The 14,605-nt window shown below is 42.1% G+C and overlaps 1 long non-coding RNA gene across 1 annotated transcript, besides 1 other annotated feature; it reads right to left on the bottom strand.

The window, feature by feature from the left end:
• LOC124901817 (uncharacterized) lies at window positions 4,441-8,935 on the bottom strand. Its single transcript, XR_007060649.1, has 2 exons — window positions 8,361-8,935; window positions 4,441-4,827 (listed from the first exon to the last, which is right to left on the bottom strand). It is a non-coding gene; the product is annotated as an uncharacterized LOC124901817 (long non-coding RNA).
• Window positions 10,816-11,016: a silencer, noted in NCBI's record as "peak6811 fragment used in MPRA reporter construct". NCBI's record gives its function as "represses an SCP1 promoter by STARR-seq MPRAs in K562 erythroleukemia cells {active_cell/tissue: K562}" and the evidence as "EXISTENCE:reporter gene assay evidence [ECO:0000049][PMID:32103011]".

Genomic DNA, 14,605 nt, shown 5'->3' with positions numbered 1-14,605 from the left:
CGTCTCTACTAAAAATCCAAAAAAAAAAAAAAAAATTAGCCAGGTGTGGTGGCGGGTGCCTGTAGTCCCAGCTACTCAGGAGGCTGAGGCAGGAGAATGGGGTGAACCTGGGAGGTGGAGCTTGGCTTGCAGTGAGCCGAGATCCCGCCACTGCACTTCAGCCTGGGAGACAGAGCGAGACTCCATCTCAAAAAAAAAAAAAAAAAAAAGCTGAAGGGACAGGAAGATGAATATGAAAAGGGGGAGAGTCAGTAAATAGTTATAAAGATCAATGTCCTCCTAATAGATAAAGAAGAGGAGTGTTTAGGGATTAGAGAGGTGTGATTAAAACAATAGATAAGTGCAAGCCAATGAGAAAATGTCTCTGAAAGAATGCAGAAATCCACCAGAGGGGCAGAAGTCAGGAGAAAACCAGAAGGTCGACTTGGCGGATATGTGATGGAGATTGTAATAGCCAGGTTTCAGTACCCTTAATTTAGGGATTAGGATATGTATTTGTTAAATTATGAAATGTTTTATGATGCATAACAATTGAGTTTTTAAAAGTATATATTTACATATCTCATTTTGTTTTCACATTCTGTCTCATGAGGCTCATGAAATGAACAGCCTAAAGACAGACATAGGGCAAAATAGATGGAAGACTGTAACTGCTCTTTCTATTAATCACCAGAGCATTCCGTTGCTTTCAAAGCCCTACATGGTGGCTGGATATTTTCTCCTCCAGATCTTAATTGGTTCATGCTCCCGCTATTCAATGATTAGCAGCACCTTTGTATGGAGCAAATACAGCATCTAACACCAAGAATCGAACGGAAATCAACTTTGACATCTGTCCTTACATGCAACTCTTAGATAAAAAGTGTTGATTTAATAGTATACTAAAAATAAAATGAATTGAGAATTAAAAACAAACACTAAACAAAGAGAAAATCGTGAAAACTTCTTAGAAGCATGGAAACTTAGGGGTGAAAGAAAAAATCCAAGCTCCTGACTTGCAGGAATCTCTTCTACCCACCATTGATGGGGCATCATTCAGTATTGTTTTCCCAGTGGAGGGCCCGAGGCTTGGGGCTAACTCCCTTTCACAAGAACCTGCAGAATTTTTGAAGAGCTTTATTATAAAATTCTTCTACTAGAAATAAACCAATATCTTGTTTGATTGATCTGGGTTTTGTTTTCCAAGTACTACAAAAAATAAATCACAAATCTAAGGACTGTATATCATTCCTATTATAAAAGCTTTGCCTTCTACAGGTGATGGTGGGAGCTCTGTCTGCTAGCCCTCATGGGGCTCGGGCTCCAGGCTCTTTGCCACCCTGTATGCCTCTTTTCAAATAAATGTGAGTTTGCCCATGTTCCTTTTAGGAGTGGTGTCAGAAATGAAGCCTACTTTGAATGTGGTCTGGTCAACATTTTGGTACAGCTGTCATCTCCATTAAATAGGATACCCTACAAATGGTGTCTCTATTAAAACACATTAGCATTTTTGTGCAGCTGGTTCATATTCTTGGTCCAAAACTATGACCTCTAGGTCATTTAAACAGAAGCTGTTTTAAAGGCAGTTCACCCTCCTCATTTTGCACTTGGAGAATTAACATTTCTAATCTAAACATACAGAGATTTATATGGCCTGTTCAGTTTCATTTTGTTAATTTTAGCCCAATATTGAGCTTAAGATGCTCTGGAGTTCTTATATAATATTAGCCATTTTTTTGCAGTTTTGTTCTGCCTGCAGATCTGATCAATATGTTTTACACATTTTATAATCAAATCATTAATAAATTAGTAAACAGAATATAGGTCAGCACAGGACATTTTGGTACTCCTCTTTGAAAATACTCCATTAATGGGTACTTCTTTTTTTGTATAGAGGGTTAAACTAGCTACAAATCTTCCTTAACTGTATTATCATCCCATACCATCCTTTACTATCTCCCTCAAGGATTTAGGAATAAAACTCCTCTATGATTCAATAAAATCAAAAACATATTCTCTGTATAGCACTCTGATAATATAACATTCTTGTAAACCTAAATATATAACAAATGAGACAGATTAGCTTAGAACACCTGTTGTCTTTTCTGGCTAATTTTTACCTAAGTGTTCATAAGCCATTTTTCAAGAATCTCATAGAATTCCATAAGATTTTACATTAAATTTATTGTCCTTTAGTTTCAACAAATCATGTCATTGGAAATTAGGATATTTGCCTCTAGTAAGTCTTAGAAACCCTCTCTTGTCCTGTACTAGAAAACATATAGGATGATTTAAAAGTTATAAGGCTCCAATTTGGGTTTTTAAGTCCATCTTAGTATTATTTTTTTTTTTTATCCAACTCTTTTTTTTTTTTTTTTGAGACAGAGTCTCACCCTGTTGCCCAGGCTGAAGTGCAATTGCATGATCTCGGCTCACTGCAACCTCTGCCTCCCGGGTTCAGGCGATTCTCCTGCCTCAGACTCCCGAGTAGCTGGGATTACAGGCACGTGCCACCACGCCCAGCTACTTTTTGTATTTTTAGTAGAGATGGGGTTACACCATGTTGGCCAGGCTGGTCTCAATCTCTTGACCTCGTGATCCACCTGCCTCGGCCTCCCAAAGTGCTGGGATTACAGGCATGAGCCACTGCGCCCGGCCCAACTCTTTTAATTTCTAGAATATTTTCATTTCTTTGGGAAGATAGTCTGAAATAAAACTCAAGTGCATCTGCTGTGTTTGTATTGTATGTTGACATTATGATGTCTGCCCGCAGGAGTACATTTCTCTTTTCTCTCTCCTTCCTGTCCCAAGTTTGGCTTTATTATTATCATTGCTAGTGTTACTGTTCGTATTGGTCTTCAGCATGCTTGCAGAGCGGAGTTTCTTCCAGGCTTCTCACTTTGAGATACCGTCTTTGGAATTCCAGTGTGTGCTTTCTTTTAACTTTTGCATTTTTTCAACCTTTTCAAGATCTGAGCTTGCCTGTGTAGCCAGCCACACTGTCACCTTTTGGATGACTTCCTTTGTCGCTGGTTGTAACGATGAGTGATTATATCTTTACAATTTTGTTTCTGATAGTTCCACATCACTTTGAGCCATCCTCAGGTGGAAGAATCTTGCGCTTCTTACAGGAAGCTCTAGCTTTTGCTCTGGTTTTGCGTGGAGAGGGAGCAAAGTTTCTGCATGCTGGAATGGAACAATGGTCCAGGCACTCTGCTTAGAACACGAGGTAAACGCATTTCAGCCTTGCTCCTATTCCATCTGCTTCCTACCCTCCCTTCCCCCCACCCATGTCCTCCTCGTCTAACAGTGCAACCTCAGGACTTTGCAGTTGGCCAGAGCGGAATCCTTCCTGGCAAACTCCGGAAAAAAAACCAAAAAACAAAAAACAAAAAATCTGTCCAGTCCTCCAATTTTAGCTTTCACTACTAATATCTTTCCACTAGATGGCAATCTACCACCAGTTTCACTGTGGCCCTAAACTACTCTGGTTGTTTACAGCAAGAAGAGTCCACGCGAATCTTCCTCAATTCTTTCTCCAAAATGCCCCAGAGCCCCATCCTGTCAATAATATCGGGCTCAAAGTTGTTGAAGTCATTTGGGTTATAGCTTGGTTTTCCAGATAAAAAAAAGGATGTGCAGTTAACTTCGAATTTCAGAAAAACAACAAATAATTTTGTAGCATAAGCCTGTTCCCTGCACTATTTGGATATCTTGCATTTTTAATTTTTTTTTTTTTTTTTTTTTTTGCTAAACCTGGCAAATCCTAGTTGTAGCACTTTGCTAAGGACATCTACATCCATGTTAGTTTTGCAGTTCAAACAGATAATCCTGAAGTTGGCCTCCATGTTTTACCCAACTTTCTTACTGTTCAGACGCCTAGGCAGCCCTGGGTTCACTGCTGGCATTTTAGTAACTCCTCACCCCACCCCTCACCATTAGGACTCTCATACAGGCTCTGCAACTGTCCAAAAAAATCATTTCCTTTCATGTTCTAAAACTGTTTGATCCCCATTCTATTTTTTGTTCCTGTAGGCTGAATATTTTTTTAATTTTGAGACAGAGTCTCACTCTGTTACCCAGGCTGGAGTGTAGTGGTATGATCATGGCTTACTGCAGCCTTGACCTCCTGAACTCAAGCAACCCTGTCGCCTCAGCCTCCCGAGCAGCTAGGACTACAGGCAAGCACCACCACGCCCGGCTAAATTTTTGATATTTTGTAAAGTTGGGGTCTCACTATGTTACCCAGACTGAGCTCAAGTGATCCTCCTGCCTTGGCTTCCCAAAGTTCTGGGATTACAGGCCTGAGCCACTTCACCTGGCCCTGAATCTTTTATATTAGTTATTCAGATAATTTTATGAGATAGCCCATTAGAATTAATTTTAAATGTCTATTTAAATATTATTTGCGGAAATGGAACACAAAACAGAAACAGGCTACAAAAGACAATTAGGCTTTTGTTGGCCCCACTCCAAGTAAATGGTCTTTATTAGTCAACAGCAAATCTGCTTCCCTGGAAATGATGCACCTTCTTCATTCATCCCCAAGTGCTGATATTCGAGTCCAGAGGGCCAGTCCGGGAGATTCAGCGTTCTTGTGTTTGTAGTTTAGTTCATACTGTTCTTTCATAAATATCCTTTCATTTGAGTTTATAACAAAGCCCTGAGATATAGGGCAGACATCCATTCCATCAGGTGACGGGGGTTTACAGGCACAGACAGTACTGGGTCAGCACAAAGATAAACAAAATCTCGTCTCAGCTTTCAGGGAACTGCCACTCTCTCTGGGGAGTCTGACAATCACATGACCAGTTACAATACAGGGGGCCAATGCTGTGAGGTGCCAGCCTGGGAACAAAGAGTGGCAGGAACTCAAATGGAGGAAAAGCCACGTAAGAAAGCTCTAGAGTCTAAGGCATTAAAGCTAGCTCGTGAAGGAACAGTGGAATCTGGATAAGCAGAGGAAGGAAGGAAGGATATTTCAGGCAGAAAGTATAGCCAGTATAAGACCACTGAGATTGGTAAGAGGATGAGAGAGATGCTCAGAGTGGTAGGGTTTGAGTGGAGGGGCTGGGGTGGCAGATGAGGCTGGCAGGGAGATTGGGAAAGGCCTCACACGATGCTGAGTGTTTGCATGTATTCTTTGGGCAAACAGTGGCACTGGCAGTTTTAACTCATGGGCATGACTCGCCCACATTTGTGTTTTAGAAAGTTGAACAGGCCGGGCACGGTGGCTCATGCCTGTAATCCCAGCACTTTGGGAGGCTGAGGTGGGAGGATCACGAGGTCAAGAGATTGAGATGATCCTGGCCAACATGGTGAAACCCCGTCTCTACCAAAAATACAAAAAATAGCTGGGCATGGTGGTGTGTGCCTGTAGTCCCAGCTACTCAGGAGGCTGAGGCAGGAGAATTGCTTGAACCCAGGAGGTGGAGGTTGCAGTGAGCCGAGATTGCTCCACTGCACTCCAGCCTAGTGACAGAGCGAGACTCTGTCTCAAAAAAAAAAAAAAAAAAAAAAAGAAAGTTGAACAGAGAATGAGATTGATAGAAGGAAAGAGGAGATGCAGGGACATAATCCAAGGCTGCTGAGACAGCCTCACTGAGAGATGTGTAGAGTAGGGCAGGGTGAAGAGAGAAGAGCGAACAGACTTGAGGAATATTTTGAGATGGAGTTTCACTTTTGTTGCCCAGGCTGGAGTGCAATGGCACTATCTTGGTTCACTGCAAACTCCGCCTCCCAGGTTCAAGCGATTCTCCTGCCTCAGCCTCCGAAGTAGCTGGGATTACAGGTATGCGCCACCACACCTGGCTAATTTTGTATTTTTAGTACAGACAGGGTTTCACCATGTTGGTCAGGATGGTCTCGACCTCCTGACCTCAGATGATCCACCCACCTCAGCCTCCCGAAGTGCCGGGATTATAGGTGTGAGCCACTGTGCCCAGCTTTGACGAATATTTAAGTCAGAATCAATATAATGTGGTAGATAATTAACTGAAAGAAAATAAGACTTTGGTAACTAAGAAATGCTATAATTGAGAAAAAATAATGGAGATTGTATTATGCCATTTTTGCATTGCTAGGCTGGGTAAATAAAAGAAGTTTAACTGGCTCACGGTTCTGCAGGCTGTACAGGAACCATGGTGGCGGCATTTGCCTGGTGAGGGTCTCAGAAAGTGCAGGGTCATGGCGAAGGCAAAGGGAGAGCAGGAACAAGCAAGGGAAGAGGAGGAGGGTGCCACACTCCTTTAAACAACCAGATGACCATATATGGCATGAAATCAAAGCGAGAACTCAGTCATGATTGCAAGGCAGCACCAAGCTATTCATGAGGGATCCTCCCCCATGACCCAAACACCTTCTACCAGGCCCCACCTCCAACATTGGGAATTACATTTCAACGTAAGATTTGGAAGGGACAAACATCCAGACCATATCAGAGATGAAGCAAATTTAGGGAAAAGGAGAGTTCGTTTATATATGTTGAGGATAAAATTTCTGTAGTTATCTGGTTAGATAAGTGGTTATCTGGGTAGAGTAGGGTCTGTAAGTTCCCCCCATAGGGTAGAACTTACAGATCTTTGTTGTAAGAAAAATATAGAACTAGGGTCTGTAACAGAGACAAGGACTAAAAAGACCAAAGGCAGCTCTTAGGCCTATTCAGCATAGAGAACACTAGTTCAAGTCAAGAGAAAGTCACGCAGGCACAGCACGTAGCAGGAAGAAAACTGGTCTTAGGCAGGCTCACTATGTTTCCTACGGAAAGAACAACATAGTGAAGGAGCACTGGGCAGAAGAAAAAGTGGCATTGATAATGGGTCAGGGACAGCCTGAGAGTACAAGTAGAAAGAGCTCCAAGAGGTGCTGGATTGGGAAATGATCAAAAGCCCAAACAGGGCCATAGGTCCTGGGGAGGGAGGTTGAACAGGTGTGAAAATATAAATGCAATTATCCAAATTCACAGAGCAAGAAACAGGTTTAAACGATTACCTAAAAATGCCTTAACCAAGGTCAGGTGTGGTGGCTCATGCCTGTAATCCAGCACTTTAGGAGGCCGAGGTGGGAGGATGACTTGAGTCCAGGAGTTCAAGACCAGCCTGGGCAATATAGCGAGACCACCCCCCCCTCCCAACCCCCATCTCTATTTTAAAAATTATCTTACAATTATCTTTTAAGAAAATGAAATTAAAATAAATGCCTTGACCAAGTCTAGATAGAAGTCTTTTAGTTTTTTATTCTCCACTTCAGCAAGTGCAGATAGAAGAGTCTTGCTTTGGGAATGCTAATATATCTTTGAAAAAACTGAAAGAGCCTTAACAAGTAAAAGGCTATAAATGATAGCCAATTTTGTGTGCTTGTATGTTTTACAAAACCATCAGGAGCTGAAATAGCTTACTTAATCCAGAAATTGGTCCTTAGGCAAAATATTAATGATGATGCTAGCTATTTATTTGGCATTCATCATGTATCTAGCTCTCTGCTAGGTAATTTTATTTCACAACCACCGTATAAGGTATTCTTTATTTGACAACTGAAAATCTGAGACTCAGAGAGATTGAAGTTATTTGCCCAAAGTTGCAAAAGGAATACATTCTGGACATGATTTAAGCCCATTCATGAGGTGTCAACTGCAATAAGCAATGTCTAGTGATAGTTTTAGAAGGAGGTGTTAAAGAAGGTCAAAAGCTGGGATTGGGTGGGACATGTCAGAAAAGAGTGGGTATAAGCTAGATTTGAGCTAGAATCAAATCTTTCCACAGGCCCTGGGTCTGTGTTTAAATAACTTAAATACTCAGTACTGTTTAGTTTGATTTAAAAAGAAATAGACACATTATTGTGATATGTAAGAGGCAAGAGAGAATAGTCGTCAAAGGGAGCAGGAAGCTGAATGTTCCAAAACTAGAAAGGGAGTTGGGATGTGTGAGAAGAACAGGTAGTGAGGTTAGTGAACGTGTAACCTAAGGAGCAGTGTGAGAAACAGAGGGGGCTCATGGACGCTGGATGGCTAGGTTGGGCCCAGCATTATTACCTGGTAGACAACGAGGGGGGTAAATAATATAAAGTCAAATTTGAGACTGTGGAACACTCTTCCAGATAGATTGTGGGTGAAAAGACTGAGAGTAGATGGACCAGTGGGGAAGTCATTCCAGTACCCAGAGATGAGGGGACCGAGACCAAAACAGCAGTAGGGAAATAGGAAAGCAGTCAATGTGATCAATGCTGTGAAGAAATCAATGAGTTGACTGCATGAGTGAGGAGGAGAGAATATCAAACGGACTCTGGGTTTCAGAGCCCAGGCATCTGGGAGTAAGATGTGCAAAATACACAAGCCCAGGGGAGGAGTTGGTGTCAGACCCAGGGTTGTGGCATCTACACCTTACTTGCTTCTTCATTCTGTAGCCTTTACATTTTATTTGTTTCTTCATCTCATTACCCTGGCAGGTTGCCTCACATACATTCCTACTGCCACAGCTTCATTATCTAAGAATGGAATTTCCACCCACAGAGATTCTAGAGTGCTTTCTGGTACACTTTCATTCTATTGGTTTTTATGTCATTCTTTCCACATAATTCTACCCAAAGTGCCCCTTCTCAAGCTCCTGCACCCTTACCCCAACCCATATTCATCTAGCCTGCCAGGGATACAATCCTCTGTTTCTCAAAAGCCCCTTCATCTGAGCTACCAACCACAACAAGCATTTAATGTTTCCAAGCATTCCAATTTGACTATTTCATTATTTCACTTCATTGCCCCATACAAAACAGATTGTTCATTTTAGTCTGACTTTTCTATTACTTCCTATAAATTACTTAAATTGGTGAGATCAGGTATATTTTCATACCCGATAAACAAAAAATGTTCCCAGAACCATATTCAAAAGATGACTGTCAAACACTTTAAAAAAATATACATTTGGCAGGGTGCAGTGGCTCATGCCTGTAATCCCAGCACTTTGGGAGGCCAAGGTGGGAGGATCACTTGAGTTCAGGAGTTCAAGACCAGCCTGGGTGACATAGCAAGACCTCATCTCTACTAGAAATCAAAAAAATTAGTTGGGCATGGTGGCACATGCCTGTAGTCCCAGCTACTCTGGGAGGCTGAGGTGGGAGAATTACTTGAGCCCAGGAAGTCAAAACTGCAGTAAGCTGACATTATGCCACTGTACTCTAGCCTGGGCAAGAGTGACATCCTATCTCAATATATATATTCATTTCTCTTGGTTTCTTAACTGGAACACACCTTATCTTTTTCCCCTAATATTTGTTAATGCAAATATTATTTTATTTAATCCATTTTTTTGAGACAGGGTCTTGCTGTGTTGTCCAGGCTGGAATGCAGTGGCGTGATCATGGCTCACTGCAGCCTCAACCTCCTGAGCTCAAGCTATCCTCTCACTTCAGCCTCCCCAGTAGCTGGGACTACAGGTGCATACCACCACACCTGGCTAATTTTTAAATTTTTTGTAGAGATGGGGCTTTGCCATGTTGCCCAAGCTGGTCTTAAACTCCTGGGCCCAAGGGATCTGCCCACCTTAGCCTCCCAAAGTGTTGGGATTACAGAGGTGAGCCACTGAGCCCATCACAAGTATTATTTTATTTCGGGGAGGAAGCCCAGTCTTACTGCATAAATCCCATTTCTCCCAAAGATCTGTTTGTACTCTCCTCCCTTGAATCTAAGCAGCCACCTCTACACACACACACACACACACACACACACACACACACACACACACACACACAGAGGACTCTTCAGTTCTTTAAGGCCCTGCTTGTGCAAGGACAATGAACTGCTTTGAAAACACCACCTTGATTCGTGTTTTCTGGATCATGTTGCCTGACTAAGCTCAATTCCATAACCCAAACCTGCTTATTAACAATTCCACAAGTCTGACCACCACCTCCTCCTGCTCTCTCAAAAATATTCTGCCTGTGCATTTTCTGTTCACTCAACCTTTGCAGTGTATGGCAGGTCACCTTCACCCTTTGGGTGATGAGCACAAGCTCAGCAGGTCACTTGCTTACATCCTAGCAGTGGACATAGAGCTGGACAAATCTGTCCTTTATAAGCAACCGACTGTATGACCTTAGGTAAATCACTTCCCCTCTCCAGGCTCCACTGTAACCAGTGAGGGTGTTAGACACAAAGACTTTCAAGGTTCTTTCAAATCCAGCAGTGGATAATTTTCTCATTTGCACCACACGTTGATCTCAATAAGAAAGTACTTTAGAACGGGCTGGCTGAGTCCCACTGAGGGCCCATCATTTCTTTGCTTTCTGCATTTCCCTTTTCTCCCTGAGACTGTCTGCTTCTGGGATAGCCTACAGTCTGTCCTGTTGAGCTGCTATGACTCTCCCACAATATCCCACGGTCTGTTGCTCTTGCCCACCCTTTCCCCAACAGTCTGAATGTTCTCCCTGGTGCTCAGGAGCCCCTTGGTCTGAGCAAATGCAGAGCCCCCATCTCAGCACACCATGTGGACTGGCTCCCTCTCTCCTTCTGGGTTTCCATCTGCATTGTTCAGAGCTAGTTGCCTCTCTGAAATGCTCAGGTAAACTGCCAGAAAATATTCATCTGCCCCTTGGTGCTCCTGGAGAATGCTGTGAGCCAGACGCAGCCCCTCCCTAGAGCAAGTTCTACCCTCAGCCCATGACTCATTCATGGAGCAGCAGACACCAGCTACCCCCACCCCAGCAGCGCGGAAAAAGTTTGTAACGCACACCAACCCGGCTCCTTTCCTACACAGATGCCCCACTCACAGCCACCCAGAATCAACAACCTCACTCACTCACCTTCACTGCCCGAGTTTTGTCTGTGCCCTTAGCCTCGTTTTTGCGACGCTCCTTGGGAACTGCAGGGTGAATGGATGCTCTTCCAAGGAAGAAGCTAGGGAAATTTCCACTCCATGACTGTCATTTACAATGGGCGGGTTGGAAAAAATGGGTCAAAGACTATTAAGCATAGAGAATGTTTTCTAAATCTAAGCAAGAAGTGCATTTGAATCACGACTGAGTTTGGCATCTGTCTCTCTTCAGCTCATTTACTCATAACCTTCGGCCCTTCCACACACCTGACTTCAGAGTTAGAAGATTACCCTCAACTACAGGCTTGGAACTGCTGTAATCACACAGCTTCTGAGTCATGTTTACAGCCAGTGTGGCTCTGGGGTCACTGGACTGTGTTAGCGATAGAGCAGAGTTACCACCACAAAAGATATTTACGTGTAAGTCTGAAACATCAACAAGTATAAACCTGCACAAGTCTCAGTGGTGTGTCTTGAGGGGATGGGTGGGGAATAACTGTCTGTGAAGGGCCACTATATCAAAACACTGGAATTCTCATTTGACCCCATAAACAAGAGGAGTTTATGATAAGGGCAACATCACTAAATACTTAAAAAGCACACAGACTATCAAGAATAGACCAGGCCGGGCACGGTGGCTCACGCCTGTAATCCCAGCACTTTGGGAGGCCAAGGTGGGTGAATCACGAGGTCAGGAGTTCGAGACCAGCCTGGCCAAGATTGTGAAACCCCGTCTCTACTAAAAATACAAAAATTATTTTGTGGCATGCGCCTGTAATCCCAGCTACACGGGAGGCTGAGGCAGGAGAATTGCTTGAACCCAGGGGCCGGAGGTTGCAGTGAACTGAGACCGCTCCACTGCACTCCAGCTTGGGTGACAGAGCAAGACTCCATTTCAGGGAAAAAAAAAAAAAGAACAGACCAACATGAGGTCCCTCAGGGAATCAAGTTTATTTAAGGGGGTAAATATGTGTGCAAAGGAAGGGGAACCAGCAAATGTAATCAGGGTTTTAAAAGACATTTTGTTGTTGTTGTTGTTTTTTGGGGGATGGAGTCTCACACTATTGCCCAGGCTGGAGCGCAGTGGCGTGATCTCAGCTCACTGCAAGCTCCACCTCCCGGGTTCACACCATTCTCCTGCCTCAGCCTCCCGAGTAGCTGGGACTACAGGCACCTGCCACCATGCCCGGCTAATTTTTTGTATTTTTAGTAGAGACGGGGTTTCACCTGGTTAGCCAGGATGGTCTCAATCTCCTGATCTCGTGATCTGCCCGCCTCAGCCTCCCAAAGTGCTGGGATTACAGGCGTGAGCCACTGTACCCAGCCTTAAAAGACTTTTTAACCACTTCTATCCTAAAGGCTAATTTAAAACAAAATCAGTCATAGAACTCAGATTCATTTTATCTGTCATGGATATAAAAGTTATTTGAGACAAAAAACAAAATTAGGGAAAATAAACACATATTAAACGGTGTGCCTTCCAGATACTTGCAGGCTGGTCTTATTAAAATCACTATAAATGGCCAAGACAGAGCAAGTAGTGCACAGCTAAAAGCTAAAGGTCATAGTTAACTTTAAGTAAAAGTTGGTAGTAAAAATAAACTTAAAAAAATAGCTTTCTAAGCTGTGTGCTTAGGCAAAAATGACAGAAGTCCAGTGTGGTCAAGTGCACAAATAAAATAATTGAGCACACATCTATATGATTTTAAGCTCCAAGCATATTACAATTCAGAAAAGGTTCTATGAATAGAACTATTTTTGTCTCCTGAAGACACTACTCAATGCATTGTTTTGCTTAAGAAAGCAACAAAATACTGTATAATCATACATGCTTCAAATGCAGTTCTGTCCAAAAAGTCTTGGTTAATGATTGTTTTCATAATCTCTTTTAAGAAATGGCCATGTAATGGTTCCAGTAATCACTGAAGAAGTTGAGTTCAATTCTGGAAATTTGAAGACGGAGAGGACAATGAGTGAACCTATATTCAATTTTTCTAAACCTAAAGTATAGTTCAGTAATTCAACCGAAGAGACATTACTCATATCTAAATTTCTCTTTTTCTTTTTTTAACCAAGGACTTAAAAGACAGGTAAAGCCTAATGCTTTCTAATATCCCAGATTAGGTGAGTATAACCCAATTAAATGAATACATATTAAAAATCTAAAGAATAGTTTTAGTTAGAAGTCTTACAGAACTTATGTTCAAAAGGATGAGAAAGCCTTAACAACTTCAAGCAAAGCAGCAGCCATGCAACTCAAAAAAATTATTTGCATTCAGAAGCTGCTATTGTACCTCTCTGAGAAAATAATGGAGAATTTGCCTTGAAAATAATATAGGGCTGGATATGGAACTGTTTGAGCCATATGGCCAGTATTCAAATACTGGTTTGTACAAATAGTTTGGATTATAATTATTGTTATTGCAATCAATATGAATCAATTATTATTTTATATGTTAGTATATGCAAATTATAGCATATACAAATAATACATGTTATTTACTTTAAAAATCTGGCTTTTTGAAAAGAGTGAAAAACCTCAATTGAACTTCTCTAAAACCATCCTGTTTTGGATATTTTAGCAATGTCATCTTGTTTATGATAAAATAATATTAGCCCACAACTTTTTTTTTTTTTTTTTGACATGGAGTCTCACTCTGTTGCCCAGGCTGGAGTGCAGTGGCACAATTTTGGCTCAGTGCAGCCTCTGACTCCTGGGTTCCAGCAATTCTCCTGCCTCAGCCTCCTGGGTAGCTGGGATTACAGGCATGCACCACCATGCCCAGCTAATTTTTGTATTTTTAGTAGAGACAGGGTTTCACCATGTTGGCTAGGCTGGTCTCGAACTCCTGACCTCAGGTGATCCACCCGCCTCGGCCTCCAAAGTGCTAGGGTTACAGTCATGAGCCACCACATCCAGCCTAGCCCACATCTTAATGGTTATGGTGATGATTTTTTTCAACATAAAGTAAACTGGCCAAACACAGTGGCTCACACCTGTAATCCCAGTACTTTGGGAGGCCAAGTCAGGAGAATTGCTTAAGGCCAGGAGTTTGAGACCAGCCTGGGCAGCATAGCAAGATCCTGTCTCTACAAAAAAATTAATTAAACTTAAAACATTTAAAAAATAAAAAATTAAGCAAGCTAACATGTTAGGATACATTGAAAACAGTGTGTGTTATTAAAAGGACGACAAATATGTCACATCATTGTTAAGTGGGCCTAGGACAAATTTTATAGCATCATTCTTACCTCTGTACGAGGCTGCAATGCAATTCTACTTTTGAGCCTCCTAAATATGAAACAGAGTAGTAGAGTATCAAAGGAAGGACTATTATAGATGAAAAGATGGCATAAAAGATGACTATGGTATTGTTATATATGGATGCTAATGAGAAAAAAATTTAGTCATATTCTTCAACTGAGACAGGCAACCTGAAAGAAACTAGAGAATAACACATTTGTTAGAGTTAAGTAGGGCTTTGGACGTTACTTGGTTCAAGCCCATGTTTTACATTTCAGGGCACAGAGACACAGAAGGGTTGAACTGTGGCAGTGTGGGGCCTGCAGTTTGGGTCTTGTGACTTGGATCCCAGGCCTCTTTCCATTCTGCCTTTCACAAAGAAGAAAGCTAAAGCAGCTGAGAAGATATTTTCACAATAATTCAGGTCACAATATAAAATCATGGATGGTCCGAGTCGGATTTGCCCAATCCACCCAAACTAGTCTATACCTATACCTTATGGGTACAGCAAAGATGGGGTTTTCATCACCTATCAATTACTTCTAACTTTTTCTACAACCTTTGAAGCTGTAACAAGCAG

This window comes from Homo sapiens, chromosome 7 (assembly GCF_000001405.40).
Source record: "Homo sapiens chromosome 7, GRCh38.p14 Primary Assembly".
Classification (NCBI taxonomy): Eukaryota; Metazoa; Chordata; class Mammalia; order Primates; family Hominidae; genus Homo; species Homo sapiens.
The sequence above is the reverse complement of the archived record's forward strand: the minus strand, read 5'-3'. Positions and strand labels throughout refer to the sequence as shown.